General features: G+C 40.9%; 1 long non-coding RNA gene across 2 annotated transcripts in view; it reads left to right on the top strand.

Moving 5' to 3' along the window:
• The first annotated feature begins 405 nt into the window (after window positions 1-405).
• LOC124901007 (uncharacterized) overlaps window positions 406-22,198 on the top strand; it is a 46,598-nt gene continuing 24,805 nt past the window's right edge. The window contains exons 1-2 of one of the 2 annotated variants that reach the window (XR_007058825.1): window positions 406-586; window positions 1,053-1,232. This is a non-coding gene — a long non-coding RNA (uncharacterized LOC124901007). Of the gene's footprint in view, window positions 587-1,052; window positions 1,233-22,198 lie in introns of those variants that run through there. The other variant, XR_007058824.1, reaches the window with a different exon arrangement.

Genomic DNA, 22,198 nt, shown 5'->3' with positions numbered 1-22,198 from the left:
CTAAGCCCTACCTGAAATGGTTTCTTTAAGGCACAAAGCTTGGCCATTTTCCCACTGCTAGCTCTGGAATAAAGTCACTTTCCTTCCACCACTCCTTGCCCTTGTTATTTGACTTTGCAAGCGGCAAGTGGCCGAAACTGCATTTGGTTACACTTCATTAACTTTTGGGATCTGAAGCTAATTCCAGGTAAATAGTATTAGAATTGAATTGAATTGTAGAATACCCAGCTGGTGTTGGAAATTTGGTGAAGTGATGTTGGAAAAGATAGCACGCATTTGATGTCATAAGTTTTGTGAGTGAAAGCAGCACAGAGATAGATACCAACAAAGCAAAATAAGGAGAGGATGAGTCAGGATGACCCTGGAGGCCTCCCACTGCGACAGCAGAGGCCTCCTCCCAGCTTACTCAGCCAGAGGATAGGAGCCTTGATTTGGAAGAGTGAGTCAGAGAAAGTGGTAATGGAATTCAGAACAACGGTGAGCTTTAAGAAAGAGAGCATGCTTCAGAGAGACCAAGAATGACAGCTATGGATAAAGAGTTACAAGGGCTTAAGGCATGGCAAGCAAGTTAATAAATGGCTCTAAGGTAGGTGTCTTTGGCCAGCTGTACGGCTGAGGTCAGACGCCTGAGAAGTAGACTAAGAGTTGGTGTGGTTTGGCTGAGTCAGACCCCAGGATGGGGTCATACTAAGGGTCCGAGTAGGTAATAAGGATCCAGTGTCAAGGAGAAAAGTGGGCTCTGTCATATCTCTGAAAGTAATTTCTTCAAAAGCCAGTTTGCCAAATTGACCAATTTGCTGAAAAACATTCAAACACCTTAAACAAATCTGCGGGAGTGTCAGGGTCAGTTTCCTAATTTTAGAAACCAGATCGTGGATATTTTGGGTCTGACCATCTGATATGGCCAAATCTCCTCAGCCTACCTTAAGTGGGTTAGTCACTTGAACTTCAAGAAACATCTAATTGCAAAATTACTTCCCCTTTAATTTGTGGCCGCTTATATAGCGATGACCACAGATTGAGAAATTCACAGAATTTCTTGAAATTTTCAGAGCCTTCTGGGGACATGAGCGCTTAGAAGAAAAAGTGCTGATGCGTTTCCTGCTCTTCACCTCTCCTCCCTAGGCCCGCACCTCCAGAAGTGTTTCCACCTGCATTAGGCCAGCGCGATGTTCGCTCATGAACCAAAGCTATGGAATAAAACCAGTGAGCCAAAGGCAGATACAGATGAACACTTGTGGAGTTGTCCCTCTTCTGGCTGTGAAAAATAGATATTTATTTTTGGCTGCTAGCTCTATTTACTCAGTCTAGCAAACTGCAGAGAAGCTCCAAATGCAGAACTTATAGGGAGTGGAGTGTTTTTTTGGCTTCTTCTTGCCAAGGTATTTTGGCTCTTGACAGGGGTCGTCTGTGTGAGAAATCTCCCTCCTCAGGCTTCTTTCCTAGGGTGGTGAGAAGATGGGAAGACTGTGGCTATTGACAAACGGTGCTGTACATCCTGCCCTTCTCAGTAAATGACTGTTAATGAATTTAAGTGTTTGGCAGGTAGAAAGCTCTTGCCAGTGATCAAAACATGCTGTGTATACAGCTGTGTGCCTTTCTGAGGGCAGGAAAATTGGACTCTGATGCACAGAGGTTTGTGGATTCCTCCATGTGTTTTGAAACCTATATTTGAGAAGTAAGTATACCGAGCTGTTGCTTGGGAGAAGTAAACACAGCAAGCTGGAGATAGAGAAGTCACAGCCATAGAAACAGAAAACCTAATTAGGAGCAGAGTAGGAAAGCTGGACTTGCAAGAAAACTTAGACATCTCTCCCCTTCCTCTAAGCCAGTGTTCTTGTTCTATAAATAGCTAAGAAAGCTAGGTAGAATTAGACTGGAATGGGCTGAGAAGTAAACTAGGGCTGGGCGTGGTGGCTTACACCTGTAATCCCAGCACTTTGGGAGGCTGAGGCAGGTGGATCACTTGAGGCCATGAGTTCGAAACCAACCTGGCCAACATGGTGAAACATAGTCTCTACTAAAAATACAAAAATTAGCCGGGTGTGGTGGCAGGCACCTGTAATCCCAGCTTACTGGGGAGGCTGAGGCAGGAGAATCACTTGAACCTCGGTGACAGAAGTTGCAGTGAGCAGAGATTGCACCACTGCACTCCAGCCTGGGTGACAGAGCAAGACTCCATCTCAAAAAAAAAAAAAAAAAAAAAGAGGAAGTAAACTGGATTAGAGGAAGAGGTGTCATGTGCTCCAAAGGAAGGAAAACTGATTACAGGTATGTGAGGAGAGCAATCTCCCGAGCAACTATGATCTGAGGGTCAAACCCTCAAGACCCTATTTCTCGCCCTGATTTGCCTGACTTATTGGGCAGAATCCCATCTGACTTGTCTATTTCTAGGTTGAGTTCTCCCATTTCTTCCTAGTTAGGTGGTATTTACAAGCCTCTTCTAAAAAACTTCCAGCCAGGCATGGTGGCTCGCATTTGTAATCCCAGCACTTTAAGAGGCCAAGGCAGGAAGACTGCTTGAGGCCAGAAGTTCAAGTTCAGCCTAGGCAACTGTTCTGTGTAGGAAACGCGCAAGGGGAGAAGAAAAGACACACGCACAATACCTTTAAGGGTAAACAACCTTTATCCCATGTAAATGGCAATGCAGATATAATAAGCAAATGATATAATAAGCAGATTGATATAATTAGCAAATCGCAATAGGAAGAGGAGAAGGGAAAAGATATTTACATTCACCAGACTATGGAGGATTCACCACCAGACTGGGAAGCAATAGCCTGGGCTCCAAAGTCGGCCACTCGTCCATGTACAGATGATGAGAGGTCTCATGAAGCTTCGGCGCAGTCTGGGACCCTAACTCTTTTTGTAACAAGTTGTTGGCATGAGGCCCCGTCACGAGGGTTCTTCATGACTGGGCTCAAGGAACACAAAAAGGTCAACCTGTTTTTGTGATTGTCTATTGTTTTTCAATAACTAATGTATCGGAATAGATTGAAGTAGAGATTTCTCCGAAACAGTGCTGGATGAATGCCTCAAGGGGCTCACACAACCTATTCTGGGACTTGGTGACCATTGTTTGTGTCCATGTTCAATTGAATTCAAATTTAATATTTAACTTTTCCTCCACAGCAACATAGTGAGTTCTCACCTCCACAAAAAGTAAAAAAAATATTAGGCCAGGCACGGTGGTTCATGCCTGTAATCCCAATAATTTTGGAGGCTGAGGCAGGAGGATCACTTGAGCCCAGGGGTTCAAGACCAGCCTGGGCAACATAGTGAGACCACGTCTCAAAAGAAAGAAAGAAAAGAAGGAAAGAAGGAAAGAAGGAAAGAAAGAAAGAAAGAAAGAAAGAAAGAAAGAAAGAAAGAAAGAAGGAAGGAAGGAAGGAAGGAAGGAAGGAAGGAAGGAAGGAAGGAAAGAAAGAAAGAAAGAAAGAAAGAAACAAACAAACAAACAACCAGGCATCGTGGTGCGCGTCTGTAGTCCTAGCTACTTGAGAGGCTAAGGTGGGAAGATCACTTGAACCCAGGAATTCAAACCTGCAGTAAGCTATGATTGTGCCACTGCACTTCAGATTGGGTGACAGAGTGAGACCCTGTCTCAAATAAACAAACATAAACTTTCCACGTGATCATGGTTCCTTGCTTATAGCCTCCTGTCACTGTTATCCATGGGTAAATTCCCAGACCTAGTGCTTCCTGGTCGGCCTAATTTTAGAGCCATCTAAGATCAACAATAAGGTAATATTAGTGTAATAAAATGCTGGGTCTGGAATATTTTAATACCTACTACTATGGTAAAAATATTTGGGATAAAAATGACAGGCTGGACACAAAAGTTTCCTTTCCTCACTATCTGACAAAATCTTCAAAAGACAGTGAGAAAGAGGCAAAAATTTCACTTGTAGCCACAAAGCAAGGGAAGAAGTACAACGTTGTGTCATAAGCCTTAAAAAGCATTGCTCGGCCGGGCGCAGTGGCTCACGCCTGTAATCCCAGCACTTTGGGAGGCCGAGGCGGGTGGATCACGAGGTCAGGAGATCGAGACCATCCTGGCTAACACGGTGAAACCCCGTCTCCACTAAAAAAACAAAAAAAATTCTCCGGGCGTGGTGGTGGGCGCCTGTAGTCCCAGCTACTCCGGAGGCTGAGGCAGGAGAATGGCGTGAGCCCGGGAGGCGGAGCTTGCAGTGAGCCGAGATCGCGCCACTGCACTCCAGCCTGGGCAACAGAGCGAGACTCCGTCTCAAAAAAAAAGAAAAAAAAGCATTGCTCAAGGAACCTAACAGGAGACTTTACCTCTAACCTCTTAAACCTACCCCTGCCTTTTCCCATTAAGCAAGACAGAGAAATTAGGGAATTTGATCCAGTATTCCTTAATAACTCCCACTTAGGAGAGAAATAAACTGAGGTAGCCAGTAGACAGCCCAGGGAAAAGTCAAAGAAACCCAGGAGAGAGGCCAACAGCACCCACAGTATGTCAGCAAAGGCAGAAAGAACTGCCAGGGGTCACCATTTTCTATGTCCATGCTGAATTAGGGAAGTGACCTGAATTATGGAGGTGATCTGAAGCCTGCTTCAATCAGGTGGAGGCTTCCTGGGTATAAGAAATCTCAGAAAATAGAGCAAAGCCCAGATGACTTGGTAACAGGTGAATGTAGTGACAAAAGAACTCTCCATTTCAGTGTCCTCAATATTGAATAGAACTCAGCATTCAGCTTTAAAGTGTTTGTTCTTAGAGGAAGGCAAATAGGTGTCTAATATGGGAATAGTAATAAGAACAATTTCTCCATGTAATACATCATATAAACAGAAGGCCCTAGAACAGGGTTTCTCAAATTGAGCACTTGACATTTGGGGCCAGATAATTCTTTTGAGTGTATATTTATGTGGGGAAGGAAGGGGGTGTCCTATGACTTGTAGAATATTTAGTAGTATCCCTAATCTGTACCTACTAGATGCCAGTAGCAACACCCCCACCACCACAGTTGAGACACCAAAAATGTCTTCAGACATTACCAAATGTTGTCTAGGGACAAAATTACCCTAAGTTGAGAACCACTGTTCTAGAATCTAGACACAACAGCCCACTGCTTCTATGAGGTACAAAGAAATAAACAGTATGGCAACTTGATAAAAGTACTACATTCAGAAAATAAAGGAATTAAAGAAAGGAAGCTGGCAAACTAGAGATGATAATAAATCTACTCTAAAAGAAAAATATAACTCAAAGAAGAAAATTCTTCCCCATCTCTTTCTCATTATAAAATAATTTATTAAGAATATACATCCAACAAAATGAGAGTTGGTCATGGTTTACTATCTGGGAACTAAGGCAAAATCCTCTGAAAAGTAGAGTGAAATTTTCCACTGTCTCTCCATGGTGAGATATGAAACCCTCCGGGGCTTCCATTGAAGGCCTTCAGGAGTCACATCCCAGGAATAAGAGAAAATTCATGGTAAATTAAGTCTTACTAAAAATGTGACACTAGCTTAATACAGCTCATTCATTATTAGATTAATGGAATTGGCCCCTACTCTGTCTAGTAAAGGAAAAGGTGGAATTCTTTGTTGGTAAATGGCATCTTTAGAAGCCACTACAATTTTTATGTACATGTCCAGAATTCAATACAAATCATTACTCATTTGAAAATCATGTGACAGATAACCAAGAGAAAAAGTAGCAATAAATAGACACATAGGTGATCCATATCACCCTTAGAGTCAGCAGATAAAGGCTCTAAAGTATCTATGATTAATATAGTCAAGAAAATAAATGAAAACAATTTTAATAAAAAATGGATAATTAAAGGAACCTATTAAAAATCAAATGAGCATTCTACAGATGAAAAATATACTATCTGAAATTAAGAACTCGATAGATGTGTTAACAGTGTTTTGATTATAGCTGAAGACAGGTTTACTGAACTGGAAGATGAATCTATAGAAATATTCCACACTAAATCACATGGAAAAAAATACATTAAGATAAATTCAGATACAGTCTAAAGGTCTAACATACATGCAAATTAGAGACTCAGAAGTAAAAAAAGAGAATGAGTTTGAAATAATATTTGAAAATCTTTTGGTCAAGAATTTTCAATCCTGATTAAAAAAAAAAAAACAACAAAAAAAAAAACACCAGGCTGGGCTTAGTGGCTCACACCTGTAATCCCAGCACTTTGGGAGGCCAAGGTGGGCGGATCATGAGGTCAAGAGATCGAGACCATCCTGGCCAACATGATAAGACCTCGTCTCTACTAAAAATACAAAAATTAACAGGGTGTGGTGACACACGCCTGTAGTCCAGCTACTCGGGAGGCTGAGGCAGAAGAATCGCTTGAACCCAGGAGGCAGAGGTTGCAGTGAGCTGAGATCACGCCACTGAACTCCAGCCTGGCGACAGAGTGAGACTTTGTCTCAAAACAGACAAACAAACACCACCAATCCACAGATTTAGAAGCTCAGTGAACCCCAGCAGTGAGCCCCAAGAACACTTACTACCAATAAAGATAAATAATCAGAAAAACAGACTTAGCCTTACAGTTGCTCCTTTGGAGGAATTCAGTCATTTGTATTCTGGGTCCTTTTAGGATTTTATTTTGTCTTTGGTTTTCACCTGTTTGACTATATGTGCCTGACAGTTGACTTTTCAACAAAAATGATAGAAGACAGAAAAAAATGAAATGACATAATCAAATGGCTGAAAGAAAACAACTACCAATTTAGATTTCTATGCCAAGCACAATATTCTTCAAAACTGAAGATTGAATAAGGATTTTTTTTTTTTTTTTTTTTTTGAGACAGAGTTTCACTCTGGTCATCCAGGCTGGAGTGCAGTGGCGCAATCCCGGCTCACTGAAACCTCCGCCTCCGGAGTTCAAGAGATTCTCCTGCCTCAGCCTCCTGAGTAGCTGGGATTACAGGCACCCACCACCATGCCCAGCTAATATTTGTATTTTTAGTAGAAATGGGGTTTTGCCATGTTGGCCTGGCTGTTCTCAAACTCCTGACCTCAGGTGATCCACTCGCCTCAGCCTCCCAAAGTGCTGGGATTAAAGGCATGAGCCACTGTGCCTGGCCAAATAAGGATGTTTTGAGACATATACAAATTGAAGGCTGAAAAACTTCATCATCAGCAGGGCTGCATCAGAATAAATACCAAAAAAAGTTCTATAGGCATAAGGAAAGTAATCCCAGATGTATGCATGGAGCTGTGGGAAAGCATGAAGAGCAACAGAAATGGTAAGTATGTGGCTAATATAAATTAAAATTGAGTGTACAAAATAATAGTAGTAGTGTGTGTGGAATTTAAAATATATGTAAAATGAAAATGCCTGACATCAATAAGGCAAAAAGCAGGAGGATGTAAACAGAGTTAATATGTTCTAGGGTTCTGCATTATCAACTAAGAACTAAAAGTAATAATTTGTGTTAGACCATAATAAGTCAAAGAGGCATGTGGTAATCTGTAATAAACGAGTGTATAACTGGGCCCAGCGCAGTGGCTCACACCTATGTTCCCGGCACTTTGGGAGGCTGAGGTGGATGGATCATTTGAGGTCAGGAGTTCAAGACCAGCCTGACCAACAGGGTGAAACCCTGTCTCTACTGAAAATACAAAATAAGCTGGGCATGGTAGCGCTTGCCTGTAATCCCAGCTAGTCGGGAGGCTGAGGCAGAAGAATCACTTGAACCCAGGAGGCGGAGGTTGCAGTGAGCCGAGATCGCACCACTGCACTCCAGCCTGGGCAATAAGAGCAAAACGCCGTCTCAAAAAAAAAGTGTATAACTGAAAAGTTAATAGAGGTGACCAGGCATGGTGGTTCACATCTGTAATCCCAGCACTTTGAGAGGCCAAGGCGGGCAGATCACTTGAAGCTGGGAGTTCAAGACCAGCCCGGGCAACATGGTGGAACCCCATCTCTACTAAAAATACAAAAGTTAGCCAGTGGCAGTGGTGAGCGCCTGTAATCTGAGTCATGAGAATCACTTGAACCAGGGAGATGGAGGCTGCAGTGAGCTGCGATCATGCTACTGCACTCCAGCCTGGATGACAGAGCAAGACCTTGTCTCAAAAAATAAATAAATAAATAGTTTGTAGAGGGAAAATGGAATAATAAAACTAATTGATTCATTCAGAAGAAGGCAAAAGAGAATTAAAAAGGAACATAAAATGGGTTGATTAAAAACAAAAATAGTGAGATGGAAGATATAAATTAAATCATATCACTAGCTATATTACATAGAAATGCAAGTAAAAGACTGGGAATGTCGGACTGGATTTAAAAGCCCAAGTATATGCTGTTTATAATAGACCTACTTTAAATATAAGGACAAAAAAGGTTAAAAGTAAGTAAAAGAATGAAAGAAGTTGTATCAAGTAAACGCTTTTCAAAAGCACGTAGATACGACTATAGTTATATCAGAACAAAAGCGTTACTAAATATAATGTTTTACGCTTCCAGAAGCATTACTAGATACAATGCATTACATTAACAAATTAAGGATTGCCAGATAAAAGAGGGGCATCTCATAAGGATAGAGTAGTCAATACAAATAGGATGATAACAGAACCCTAAATCTTTGTGCATGCCATAATATAGCTCCAACCGGATACAGGAAGAAACACTGGAAAGAACTAAGTGGAGAAACAGATAAATTCATAATCATAGTGGGAGTCCTTATGATTTTTTTTTTTTTTTTGAGACAGAGTCTCGCTCTGTCGCCCAGGCTGGAGTGCAATGGCATGATCTAGGCTCACTGCAACCTCCGCCTCCTGGGTTCAAGGGATTCTCTCTACCTCAGTCTCCAGAGTAGCTGGAATTACAGGCACATGCCACCACACCTGGCTAATTTTTTGTATTTTTAGTAGAAATGGGGTTTTGCCATGTAGGCCAGGCTGGTCTTGAACTCCTGACCTCAGGTGATCCGCCCGCCTCGGCCTCCCAAAGTGCTGCGATTGCAGGCATGAGCCACCGCGCCTGGCCCAGATGTTCATTTTATCACCATTTCAACTTTTTTGTGTGTTCAGAAATGTCTATAATAAAAAAACTGGGGAGGAAGCATGGTCTGAAAAAGAAGGAATTGTTCTGCATATTCCAGAACACAGTTTCTCTCCAAGTTCTTGAATCTTTTAATCTACTTACTTAGGTAGTTGGAAAGTTCTCAGACATTGAAGGCATGCAGGGAAGAACAAGTGAGGAGACAAGGTGGAAAAGTCAATGCAGAGAAGCAAAAGAGACTAAAGGAAATGTGTCAAAACGTTGCCAGCAGTTGCCTCTGGGTAGTTAGATTATCACTTTTTAAAAAAATCTCCTTCTTTGTAGTATTCCATAATTTTTATATTTTCTATCATGATTGTTGATTATTTTTATAATGAGACAAAATAAAATAAATTTAATTAAATAGAACAGGAATGAAAGAGTGCAAACTGGTAAGAAAGATGTAAAAATTGGTTAAAGTTTGGAATACACCTGCCCTTTGGGGCAGAGATGGTAGCTGATTTCTGCTTTTCTTAGAAGTAGAAAACATTTACAGAGAAATGTGTTTTGTTTCAGAAGTGTAAAAAAAAATTACAATCCCAGAGAAACTGGAGGGAAGAAGTAACTTGACTAGAGTAGTGGTTTAGACATTGGATGGGAAAGGGGAGGGTTTTCTTTTCCTTAGTTGTGCCTTTGGCTTTAAAGAGTTTGGGGCTTTTGAGGGCTGACGCTAGAATCAAAGGAAACGGTGAGGGAGATGTTCAGGTTTCCTTCCAGAAGACTCAAGCCAAGTTGGAAAGAAGGCAGGGATTTAGAGCACCCTTTTGGAAGTAAATGTGAATGTAAGGGTTCCCAAGTTGTGAAAAGTGAAGGGCAGTTTTGAAGCCAGAATTGCTCTTAGAGATTGTTTACCTGCATTCTCTCAATAGAAGATCCGGAGAGGTTAAATGACTCAAACAAGGTCAGCCAGATTAATGACAGGAGCCAAACTAAAAACACGTCTCATGCAAGGATTCAGCTGGGATGTAGTTAGTGGACATACTATAAAAATGAGCATTGTATAGTGTCTGGGTATCTAATGTGTGGCTTATCTGAAGTATTTTAGACCTTCAGAACTGTCCAGTAAAGTAACTCATATGAATAGTTTAGGTCACTGGGGGCATTAACTGCTGTGTAACTGATTACAGCCAGTAATCATGGTAGCAGTCTGGACTGATTAGTAATGATAATTGAAGTTGAACATAATTATATGACTTTATCCTGTTCTAATTTAGTGTTAAAATTAGACCATGAAATTGAAATTATGCAGGTTAATTAACTTGAGAAGAAAAATAAGCATTTATAAAACCTCCAAATTATACACATAGACTTCAGATAACTCAGACCCTCATATGCCAACTTTGGAACTTCTTGACACAGATTTTAACCAACTAAACCTTCATGTAGCCTTCAGAATCACCACATAGCCCATTGTTGAAAAAACGTGGCTGACCCTGGAAAGATGGAAGGAGATATGTGTTTTCACTGTTTCAGGCTATGAGACTCTGTGGTTTAGTCTCAGCCCTGCCCTAACAAGTTGTGTAAGTCTTGAACAAATCACTTAACTTTAGAGACCTCAGTTTACTTATAGGTATAGATTGTACTTTAATCTCAGTATTGTGCTTTAATCTCAGTATTGTGCTTTCCTACCAAAAAATGTCATTTGAGGCCAAGGGTGGTGGCTCACTCCTGTAATCCCAGCACTTTTAGAGGCTGAGGCAGTAGGATCATTTGAGCCCAGGCGTTTGAGATCATCCTGGGAAACATGGTAAAACCTGTCTCTTCAAACAATAAAAAAATTAGCTGAGCATGGTAGTGCACGCCTGGAGTCCCACCTACTTAGGAGGCCGAGGTAGGAGGATGGCTTGAGCCTGGGAGGTTGAGGCTTCAGTGAGCTGTGACTGTGTTACTGCACTCCAGCCTGAGTGAGAGCCTGTCTCAAAAAAAATCTCATTTTAGTCAACTGTTTATGACAGGAAACATTTGCAAGCAGTTTATTTTGAACCAACATAAGCCAATTTGTTCTATAATTGTCAGGTAAAAGTCAGTAACCTGGCAATTAAGGTTAGGCGGAGTGTCTATGTGCCTCTCCCTCACAATCTTGTTTCCAGGTGGTAAGCAAGGTTACGATAAAGGGAAATCATAAAACAAATTCTGCCAAACCACATTTGTAAGAAAGCAGGCCAGGTGTAGTGGCTCATGTCTGTAATCCCAGCACTTCAGGAGGCCAAGGAAGGAGGATCACTTGAGGCCAGGAGTTCGAAGTTACAGTGAGCTATGATCACACCACTGCAGTCTAGCCAGGGTGACAGAGCAAGACCTTGTCTCTAAAAGATAAAATAAAATAAAATAATAAAATAAGTACAAGCAATCACATAACAAGATCTTCTAAACTCAGAGCAGATCCCGGCTTCAGGCATTCTTTCTCTAACCTGAGAGGTTCACTCTGAGGACTCAGGACCTGCGAATACTATGACTGGTTCAGGAAATAGACTCCTTAATGAAGTGACAGCTACTGGATGCATACTTTTCAAGTACGAAATGGAGAAAATAGCTTATTATTATCTCTACCAATTTAACTGTCTACAAACCACAGTCATTCATCCATTCATTCATTCAGCAGATATTTACTAAGCATTTACTGTGTGTCAGGCACTGAGGACACAAAGGTGAATTGGACCAAAGCCTTGGCTTCAAGGAGCTAATGATCTGGTGTTTTGAAACAAGTAAATTTAGATTATAATAGAGTAGGTACTACAAGAGGGAGCTGAAAAATGCTACGGAGGCTCCCAAACTTGGGCCAGAATTTCCCACCACCTGCAGGACATATCTTTGGGGACATACTACAAGCAACTCTAACGAAACATGACCAAAACTTAACTTGCATCCCCTTGCCTCCCACTCCCACAACCTGCCCTTCCTTCTTCTTGTAGTACCAGCCAGAACAAGCACAGCTTGTGGCTATGTCCGTAGGCTTCTAAATTGTGACAGTGAGTCCCCTCCCCTAAAGACTGTGCTGACTGCAGAGGCACTAGGTGTTACCCTAATCTGTTGGTTGTCCCACACAACTGGATACAGAGTGAACACCTGCCTAAAGACAGCCATTCCAGAAACCGACCCGCTGCTGGCTAAGTGCCCTGATAAGAAAACTCTATTCCAATAGGGACAGCATTTGGTTAGGCCAACTCTCTTCCTAGGAAATTTGAACTGTAGGTCTGAGGAAAGAGTCAAGCAGTTGGCAGGAGCAGAATCCAAAAGACACTCAGAAGACAGCGTACAGAGCCATGAGTGAGCAGAAACTATTCGTATGATAGACTTGAGGAAAAGGGTGAAGTGGTTGATGGGTGGTAATGAGATGGGGACAGAGAGATGCTGTCACCATAAACACAAGGGCCCATGGAGCTGCCACAAAAACAAGGACAGTTGGTTTATGCTTTGGAGCCTTAGCTGATTTAAGTCTCTAAGCTATGCTTACTCTTATAGCCCAGCAATGCTGGTGTCCTTATTTTTACTTGTGAATACAATAGTCTGCTAATCTCTTAGTTGTAATCTGATGACTATTGTCTTCCACGAAAATTGCTTAATGAATTATCTCTCTACATAGTCATGCAAAGCTGAAGCTTGGAAGTCGTCCTTTATTCCTCCCAGTCCCTTGCCCCCCATCGTGGAGTCCTGCACATTCTACCTTTTGGAATTTCTCTTCAATACACCCTCTCCTTTCAACTCTTATTATCTATCCTGCAATTTTAAAAAGTAAATTTATGAAAGGATTTGACATAGGCATTATTTGAAAAAAATATTTCTTTTTTACATAGAAACCTTAAGAGAATCAATGGAAAAACTTAGAAATAATAGCACATTGTAAAGTGGTTGAATATAATAAAACATCTTTTTAAAAAATAGCTTTTCTTTATAGAAACCATAAAGGAAACATAATCCTATTCATGAGCAGCCAACATATCTGAAATATCATATGTAACTTTATCTTTATTTTTTTTGAGACAAAGTCTTACTCCGTCACCCCAGCTGGAGTGCAGTGACACAATCTTGGCTCACTGTAACCTGATTCTCCCACCTCAGCCTCCCGAGTAGCTGAGACTACAGGTGCCCGCCACCATGCCCAGCTGATTTTTTTAAAAAATATTTTTAGTAGAGATGGGGTTTCACCATGTTAGCCAGGATGATCTTGAACTCCTGACCTCGTGATCCGCCTGCCTCAGCCTCCCAAAGTGCTGGGATTATAGGCGTGAGCCATCGTGCCCGGCGATTATTTTTAAAAGAGAAATGTGGTCAGGCGCAGTGGTGGATCGCTTGAGCTCAGGAGTTCAAGGCCAGCATGGCCAATATGGCAAATCCCCGTCTCTACAAAAAATAAAAAAGGTAGCCAGGTGCAGTGGCATGTGCCTATAGTCCCAGCTACTTGGGAGGCTGAGGTGGGAGGATTGCTTGAGCCTGGGAGACAGAGGTTGCAGTGAGCTGAGATCAAACCACTGCACTCCAGTATGGGCAACAGAGCAAGGTCTTGTCTCAAAAAGAAAAAAAAAAAAAAAAAGAAGGAAAGAAAAACAGAAATGTGTCAACAAGAATATGAAGAAAACAGCAAACTTTAGAAATACACGCAGAATTCAAATAAATGTCTTTGTTACTTCTTATGACAGTAAAAAGAAAACTCTATTCCAATAAGGACAATGTTTGACTAGGCCAATTCTCTTTCTAGGAAACTTAAACTGTAGATCTGAGGAAAGAGTCAAGCAGTTGGCAGGAGCAGAATCCAAAAGAAAGTCAAGAGACAGTGTACAGAGCCATGAGTGAGTAGGAACTATGAGTATGATAGGCCTAATTTTCCAAGATAATGCGAGGAGATCTTCATTTCTTGTAAACAAATCCTATTGATATCCTTGGATGAGGAGACTTAGGGATATAAACATGTCAAATTCAGCCCAAAGTAGTATGTGGATTTAATGTGACCCCTATTAAATTCCCAACAGGAATTGTTTGGAGAGGACAGTGCTTAACAAAATTATCCTAAAATTAATATGGAAAAAGTTGTAAGAATGGCAAGGAAAATTTTACAAAGAATAGCTAGGAAGACTAGGACTCCCACGTATCAAAATAAACCACAATAATAAAAGGTTTATAGATAATGCAAGAATATAAAAATTAATGGAACAGAAAAAAACCGCCAAATAGACCTTTGCATAAATAATTATTATAAGATACAACAATGATTTAATATACACTATAACTCAACAGGAAAAAAATAAATTATTAAATAAATGATTGGGGATCTAGGGTTAGGTATTGAAAAAAGCAATCATTTAAGACTTTGATGCCATCCATCTATCTGTCTGTTGTGAACCTAAATAACAGACACAGAAAGAGGTTCTCTGAAAGAAAATGATATTTATTTGGGAGTAAGCGTTGCAATGGAAATATAGTGAGTGTATTCAGGAGGGTGGTTGTCAAAGGAAGACAAAAGTTTTTAAAGAAAAAAATGAGGAGGATTACACAATTGTTTTGATACAATTATCCTTGGCTACAAGGAGCAGTAATAAGAGTGGCATCAGTCCAAGGTTGGACAGGCAGTTGCTGGGTAGATGACCTTACAGAAGTATAAGTCTGAATAATAACAATTGCAAAACCAAATCATTAAGGAGACACACACACCAATTTATTTTGGATTTTAAAAAAGGTAAAATGGTAAAATGAAGAGAAACAATAATGCTCCAAAGCAAGATGGAGCTTTCAGCTAAATGGTCTATTTCTCCTTTGTTCCATATAGAATACCATCATATCTTCTTATGTAATTCTAAACTCCACCCAGCTATTTCCTCATTTGCCAGTTTTAAAAGAAAAATATGGGAATTTTTGGTGTTGCATATTTTTTCCATGGTGGGCTGATAGTATAAGTTTTATTTATTTATTTATTTAGTATTTTATAAACATTCATCAAGATTATTGCTTTTCTTGCTACAGTGGAGGGGACTGTCATGGGTGCAACTGGCTGAGGGCCTGCTTCATGGGCAGTAAAGGGATTTACCAAGGCAGTTGTAGGTAAAGAAAGGCATATTTTTTAGAGAATACCCATTGTGTTTTTTTCTCAATCACCTGGGAGGAACCATCTATTGTCCTGTCCTGAAGGGAGTTCCTCCTAGGTCTGGTTGGATCTTTGTATGGTAATTAAGATTGAAATCCCTTGTTGGGAAATCTGCTGGGTTAATGGAATTTTCAGTGGTTAATGTTAAATTACCTTTCTCTAACAGAATAGCCCCATACTTTAAGATTTTTGAGTTAGTAAGCTACCTTTTTGCTTTTTTGACTTAGGATAGTTCTGAACTGGTGAGGTTTGCTCACAATGAGGTTTCCTCTAAAGGCTAATTTTCTACTTTCTTCTGTTAGCAAAGCAGTTGCCACTACAGATTGAATGCATTTGGGCCAACTGCAGGTTCCTGGGTTAAGGATTTTTGATACGAAGGCTACTGGTTGTCAGTGGCCTCAGAGCTTTCGGGCTACGCCCTTATTTACACTGACAACAAAGTGGTATTGGAGTGTTATAGGGCCAGGGAGAAAACCTTCAGTTATCAATTATAGGTTTAAATTTACCCTGGCTTTTAAAGAAATAGGTTACACTGTTTTTCTTTACTCCTTCTATCTTTCTCTTTCTCTCTTACTTTCTCCTTTCTGTCTTTGTAGATGGATTTTTGGAAACACAGTGGAAGGACGTTCACTCGTTGCCCCCATTTGCCACTACAGGAATATGTGCCTCCCTTTTATTTACTCTATTTGCTTTCATCCTGATTTATTATGTTGTTGTAGACCCAGTTCCAGTTGTTAAAGTACTGGGTTATCAGTTCTAAGGCCCTGGCAAGGGTGCTGGGGAACAGGTCCCACATAACTGCCCATGTCGAGAGCTCTATGCTTAAATTGGGAGGGACACCAGGGACAGGACTCCCTGGGTTCATAGTTTAAGGGCCTAAGGACGCAGTGTAGAGCTTCCTTATATCCCTTTGGAGATGTAACCTGCTCTAATACTTGGGAGAGGAAGTGAAAGCCTGAAGCATTAGTATCTAGGAGGCAGGGATCAGAGGAAATAGATTCAGAGGTAAGGAGAATTTTGAGGCTACACTTTCAAGAAATTCATGGTCAGGACCCAGGAGGTATGGGTCAGAAGGAAAGGTAGGGGTGCACGCATGGGCAACTGTTGAGTAGAGACTTCTGGCTGCGCCATAATCTCAACTGGCTAATGCCGGGAGTTCAGGACAACAGCTTTCTGCTTCTAATCGGCCCTTAGCTTCCCCAAGAAAATTGAAAGTGGAAGCTGGTTCTAGGCAGATCAGGCTTCCAACCCAGAAGGGTTGGGGGTTGTTAGAAAGCCCTCTCCCAGACAGCCTCACACCTGAGTCTTAAGTCCAGCAGCCACGCTAATCATTTTTAACTGGCAGACAGGTGCCTGGTATTTTCCTCCAATTCTAAGGAAGGATAGGACAGGATAGCAAGCAAAAGTGGTCCAATATTATTCACTGCTTTGGAAGTCCCTTTGTGGTCGCCAAAATGTTACGGGGTGTGGGGGTCCTTGTTCTTAGAGCTCCCAAGATGGTGGTGCTGCTCTCAATATGGCAGCAAGCCTCTTGTTCTCTGACCTGGGGTTCTTGGCCTCACAGATTCCAAGGAATGGAATCTTGGGCCATGTGGTGAGTGTTATAGCTCTCTTAGAAGCCATGGGTCATGGAAGAGAACCGTGGAACCCAGCGACTAGTGTTCAGCTCGATTAGGATGAACCCAGGCACTTAGCCATGCAGGAACAATGGCGAGCCTTTAGCCCAATAGGGGGCAGCAATGGGTGCCTCGCTGGATCAGGAGTGCAGCGGACACCCTGCCAGATCCAGAGGGGTGGAAGTCAGGGTCTGCGATGGCGGCAAACAGCAGTGGTGGATGGCAAGCAAAAGCTCAGCTCGAGCCGTAACAAACACGGACCAGAAGAGTGTGCAGTTGCAAGATTTAATAAAGTGAAAACAGAACTCCCATAAAATGGGAGGAGACCCAAAGGGGGTTGCCCCCTCTTTCTTAAAAAAAAAAGTTATTTTATTTTTGGACAAGAATTTGCCACACGATATATTTTCTCATATAAAATTTCTTTTCTTTATAACCTTCCTTACGAAAAATACCTCTTTGCCTTTATAACCTTATTTATGTCTCCCTTATTTCCTGGTTCCTTTTACCTTGTTTTATATATAACCTTTAAATAACCTTTGAATTAGACAAAAACTATTTTCCTTTTGTTAGGAAGTTAAGATTTGTACTGCATGTTGCTGAGCGAGTTCTGTGAAGGGGAAGCAAATGAGGAGGTTTTCTGCATACTGTAGAAGTTATTCTCCCACAAGAGATTATTCAGTTAGATTTTTACTAGGGCTTGTCTGAATAAGTGTGGGCTATTTTAAACCCTTGAAGTAGGGCTGTTTAGGTTGAAATTATTCGTTAAAAATTTAGGTAGTTTTCCCAGGAGAAACAGGGCTATTAGAGGGAGAGATGAATTCAGAGGTTGGGTAAATATTAAGCAGGCACCTATCTTGGAAAGCATATTTTTGCCCTAGCAGGGTTTGAGGTATTTAGTTATCAGAAACTGGTGGGAGAATGGTCATTGGTCCCTTAAGTAATATAAAGGGATGTGAATTTTTTCTTTTGGAGGGAGGTGATGCCATTTGCCTTCATTACCCAACAGGATTTGGAGGAGAGTTGCTCAGGGAAGATTGGTACAGAGTAGGCATTGTTTGAACTCAAAACGGAAATTTATAATTTCATTTGTCCTCTCCAGAGTGCCTTTGGCTTTGTCCTGTTGATGACAGTGTCTGATTTGAAAGCCAGCTGGAGCAGAGAGCCTCTTCAGCTCAAGACCATCAGGGGTTGGGATTCTGTCCCAGAGACCCTTTAGCCCTCAGGGCAGTCCCGTTTCCAGTGGCCAAGCTTGTGGCAGAGTCGGGGGGATACCGTGTGGGGCTTTTTCCCATTTATTTCATTAAGGCAGTTTACCTTTCAGTGGCCTGGCCTTCTGCACCAGTAGCAGTTACCTGGAGGAGTGTCCTTAGAGCAATCTGGAGGGGACTGAGGGCTTGTGAAGCAGCCAGTGTTAGAGCCTGCCTCTCGTCCTTGTGTTTTTCTTTCTCCTTAGCCCTGTCCTCTTTATTCTGCTCTTAGTTATAAAAGACTGAGGAGGCTAATTTGAGGATTTTTCTGCATAGGGGTCGTGCTATATTTTACAAGAAAATTATGTTTCCTTTCGAGAGCCTGAGAATTTATCCCAATGCTTTCAAATGCAACCCAGAGGTGAATCTGAAGGAATAGACAGGGTTTGTCTCATGGTAGGACTGGAAAATGATGAGCTGCTGGGGACTAATTTCCACTGGGGACACAAACCACATTTTCTCTCGGGGCATAGTGCTAAGGAAGAAGGTTCCATTCATGTTCACTGAGGCACTTGAGTGCACTTTCTAAAGGGGCGTCCCATGGTTCTCATTAGAAAAGACCTCTTGGGCCGGGTGCGGTGGCTCATGCCTGTAATCCCAGCACTTTGGGAGGCCGAGGCGGGCGGATCACGAGGTCAGGAGATCGAGACCATCCTGGCTAACACGGTGAAACCCCGTCTCTACTAAAAATACAAAAAATTAGCCAGGCGCAGTGGCGGGCGCCTGTAGTCCTAGCTACTCGGGAAGCTGAGGCAGGAGAATGGTGTGAACCCAGGAGGCAGAGCTTGCAGTGAGCCGAGATCGCGCCACTGCACTCCAAACTGGGTGACAGAGCGAGACTCCGTCTCAAAAAAACAAAAAAGAAAAAAAAAGAAAAAGAAAAGACCTCTTGATTCTGGGGCGCCACTGCACTCCAAACTGGGTGACAGAGCGAGACTCCGTCTCAAAAAAACAAAAAAGAAAAAAAAGAAAAAGAAAAAGAAAAAGAAAAGACCTCTTGATTCTGGGGCCGTATGCTGAATGGCCAGTCCATGTAAGCAGTTACACTGAGTGATCAGCCCAGGTATGAGGAAAAAGGGTAAAGAAAGAACTCAGCCTGGTGCCAGCCTAGGAGAGCAGGTGGGTAAGGGAAGACTCACTGTTGTGAGGCCACTTGAAATCACCTGATTTGGGAACATCTGGAGAAGGAGGTCTGGCTGTCTTTACAGGAGAAATTAGAGTGAGAAAGAGGAGGTCTGGGTTCCCCAAACTTGTGTGCCAGTTGCAACACAGAGAAGGACTGGGGACTTTTTTGCCAGAAAGGATAGGAGAGGGCCTTCCTCCCTTCCAAGCAAGGAAGTTAAACCTGCTCACCCTCTGGCCTTTATGGGTCCATATTGAGATCACAGATGCAACTATGAGCATCCATCAAATTGAACATTGCTCACTACCTGGGTGATGGGTTCAATCATACCCCAAACCTCAGCATCACACTGTACACCATGTATCAAACCTCCACATGTACCCCCGAATTGAAAATAAAAGATGAAATTTAATAAATAAATAAGAAATAAAACAAAGAACAGAAGACAAAGTTATAAAAATAAAAGAACAACCTGGGATTTCAGTTACAGAGTGACATAGCGGAGAAAACTCTCTTAAAAGAAAGCATACATTTAGTTTATATTTATAAATACATATATTGAGATCCTAAAAAATTCAAGGAACTACCACTATAAAAATAAGATCTAGTCCCTACTCTCAAGGTGCTTACAGATAGTAATACATGTATTTATACTTGCTTTTTGTTTTGTTTTGTTTTTTTAACAGTCTTTCTCTTTTGCCCAGGATGGAGTGCAGTGGCGCCATCTTGGCTCACTGCAACCTCCACCTCCCAGGTTCAAGCGATTCTCCTGCCTCAGTCTCCTGAGTAGCTGGGATTGCAGGTGTGTGCCACCACACCTGGCTAATTTTTTGTATTTTTAGTAGAGATGGGGTTTCACCATGTTGGCCAGGCTGGTCTTGAATTCTTTGCCTCAAGTGATCTGCCCACTTCAGCCTCTCAAAGTGCTGGGATTGCAGTCATGAGCCACTGTGCCTGGCCTGTATTTGAAGTACCTATTTGAAAATGTGTTTCAAACATGTGTGTTCTCATGTATTGAGATCATTACTACGGCTATCAGGAAGGTTTTTTGTAGTTTCATATTTTGCTTGAGAAATACTAAGATAAAGCCTAAAATGTTTATGTCATATATGTCATAAATATAACACCAATTGTGGAATGCACCACAATGTCAGCATTGTCCTCTGACTTGACATGAACTTAAACTTGTAATGTGACCTTGGAAATAATGGAGGTCAATATATAAATATTCCTACAAATCATTAAGGAAAATGCTAACAACCCAGCAAAAATGGACAAAAGATATAAATAAAAAGTTCACAAGAAAGAAAATGCAAATGGTTCTTAATGTCTTAAAACAATCTCAATATCACTCAGAGTACAAATACAAATTAAAACTACTATAAGATACAATTTTCACTTATCAGGCTGGCAAAGGCAATTTTCGTCCCTGTCTATTCAAAGTAACACCATTTTCTTTATTAGTTCCAGTGGGCAAGTAAGAGCAAGGAGTCCACATAGCGTTGGCCAACCAAAGTGATGAAAGGAAGGCACATTTTTAAAAATTCATAGATCCAAATCCACGAAAAAAATTCTCAGTGTATTAGGCCATAGAATTTATTAAAAAAAAACTTACTCTCATTTATTATTTATTATGTGTGGAATACTGTTATGTGCTTTACATATGTTGCCTCATTTAATCCTCATTAAAAATCTATAATTGTGCATTTTTCAAAGAAGGAATTTGAGATTCTGAAAGTTTATTAGACAGTTTAAATAATTTTTTCAATATTATAATAAAGTGTTGTCTGATTCCAAAAACCCTGCTCTTAACTATCACTCTATACTACACCCAGAAAAATGAATATTGATGCTATTATTCTAACACAGGTCAATAAAAAAAACTTTCAGAGAGACTTTGTTCAGCTGCTAAAGCTTTTCTATTAGACATTTCTGAGGCATAATATACTCACTATTTTAATTTTCTTTTTGCCTCTAATAATAGTTACAACCTTAGCTAGCTAAAAAGTATACTTAAATAGGACAAAGCATTGAAAATGATAGGACTTTTGATAGTATGAAGAGTGAAATGTGTTTCTTGTAGCCAACATGTTGTTAGGTCTTGGTTTTTGTTTTTCATCCATTCAGCCATTTTGTCTTTTGATTGGAGAATTTAGTCCATTTATATTCAATGTTATTATAGATAAGTAAGAACTTACTCCTGCCATTTTGTTATTTGTTTTCTAGTTGTTTTGTGGTCTTCTCTGCCTTCCTTCCTTCCTGTCTTCCTTTTTGTGAAGATGATTTTCTCTGGCAGTGTTTTACTTTCTTGCTTTTTTTTTCTGTGTCCATTGTAGGCTTTTTGAGGTTATCATGAGACTTGCAAATAACATCTTATAACCCATTATTTTAAACTGATGATGACTTAACATTGATTTCAAAAACAACCACACTATGAAACAAGCAAAGAGAAAACTAATAACTCTACACTTTAACTTCTTTTTAACTGTTTCTATTTACATAATAGTTTTCTATTTTTGTCATGTAAAGTTGTTGTAGTTATCACTTTTAGTAGTTTTTCCTTTTAGCCTTTCTATTCAAGATACGAGCCGTTTACACATTACAATGACAGTGTTATAATATTCTCTGTGCATATACTATTACCAGTGAGTTTTATAACTTTGGATGGTTTCTTATTCCTAGTTGACACCTTTTCTTTCAGGTTGAAGAACTCCCTTTAGCATTTCTTGTAGGCCAGGTCTAGCATGGATAATATCTCTCAGCTTTTGTCTTGGAAAGTCTTTATTTCGCTGTGAACCCTGAAAATCAGAGACAGGTCCCAGTTAATTTAGAAAGTTTATTTTGGCAAGGTTGAGGACATGCACCCATGACAGTCTGAGGAGGTCCCAATGACATGTGCCCAAGGTGGTCAGAGCATAGTTTGGTTTTAAACATTTTAGGGACACATGAGACATCAATCAATATATGTAAGATGAACATTGGTTCATTCTGGAAAGGTGAGACAACTTGAAGTGGGAGGGGGCTTCCAGGTCATAGGTAGATAAGATACAAATGGTTTCATTCTTTTGAGTTTCTGATTAGCCTCTCCA

The sequence above is a fragment of the Homo sapiens genome, chromosome 5 (genome assembly GCF_000001405.40).
Source record: "Homo sapiens chromosome 5, GRCh38.p14 Primary Assembly".
NCBI classification, from domain to species: domain Eukaryota; kingdom Metazoa; phylum Chordata; class Mammalia; order Primates; family Hominidae; genus Homo; species Homo sapiens.
The sequence above is the reverse complement of the archived record's forward strand: the minus strand, read 5'-3'. Positions and strand labels throughout refer to the sequence as shown.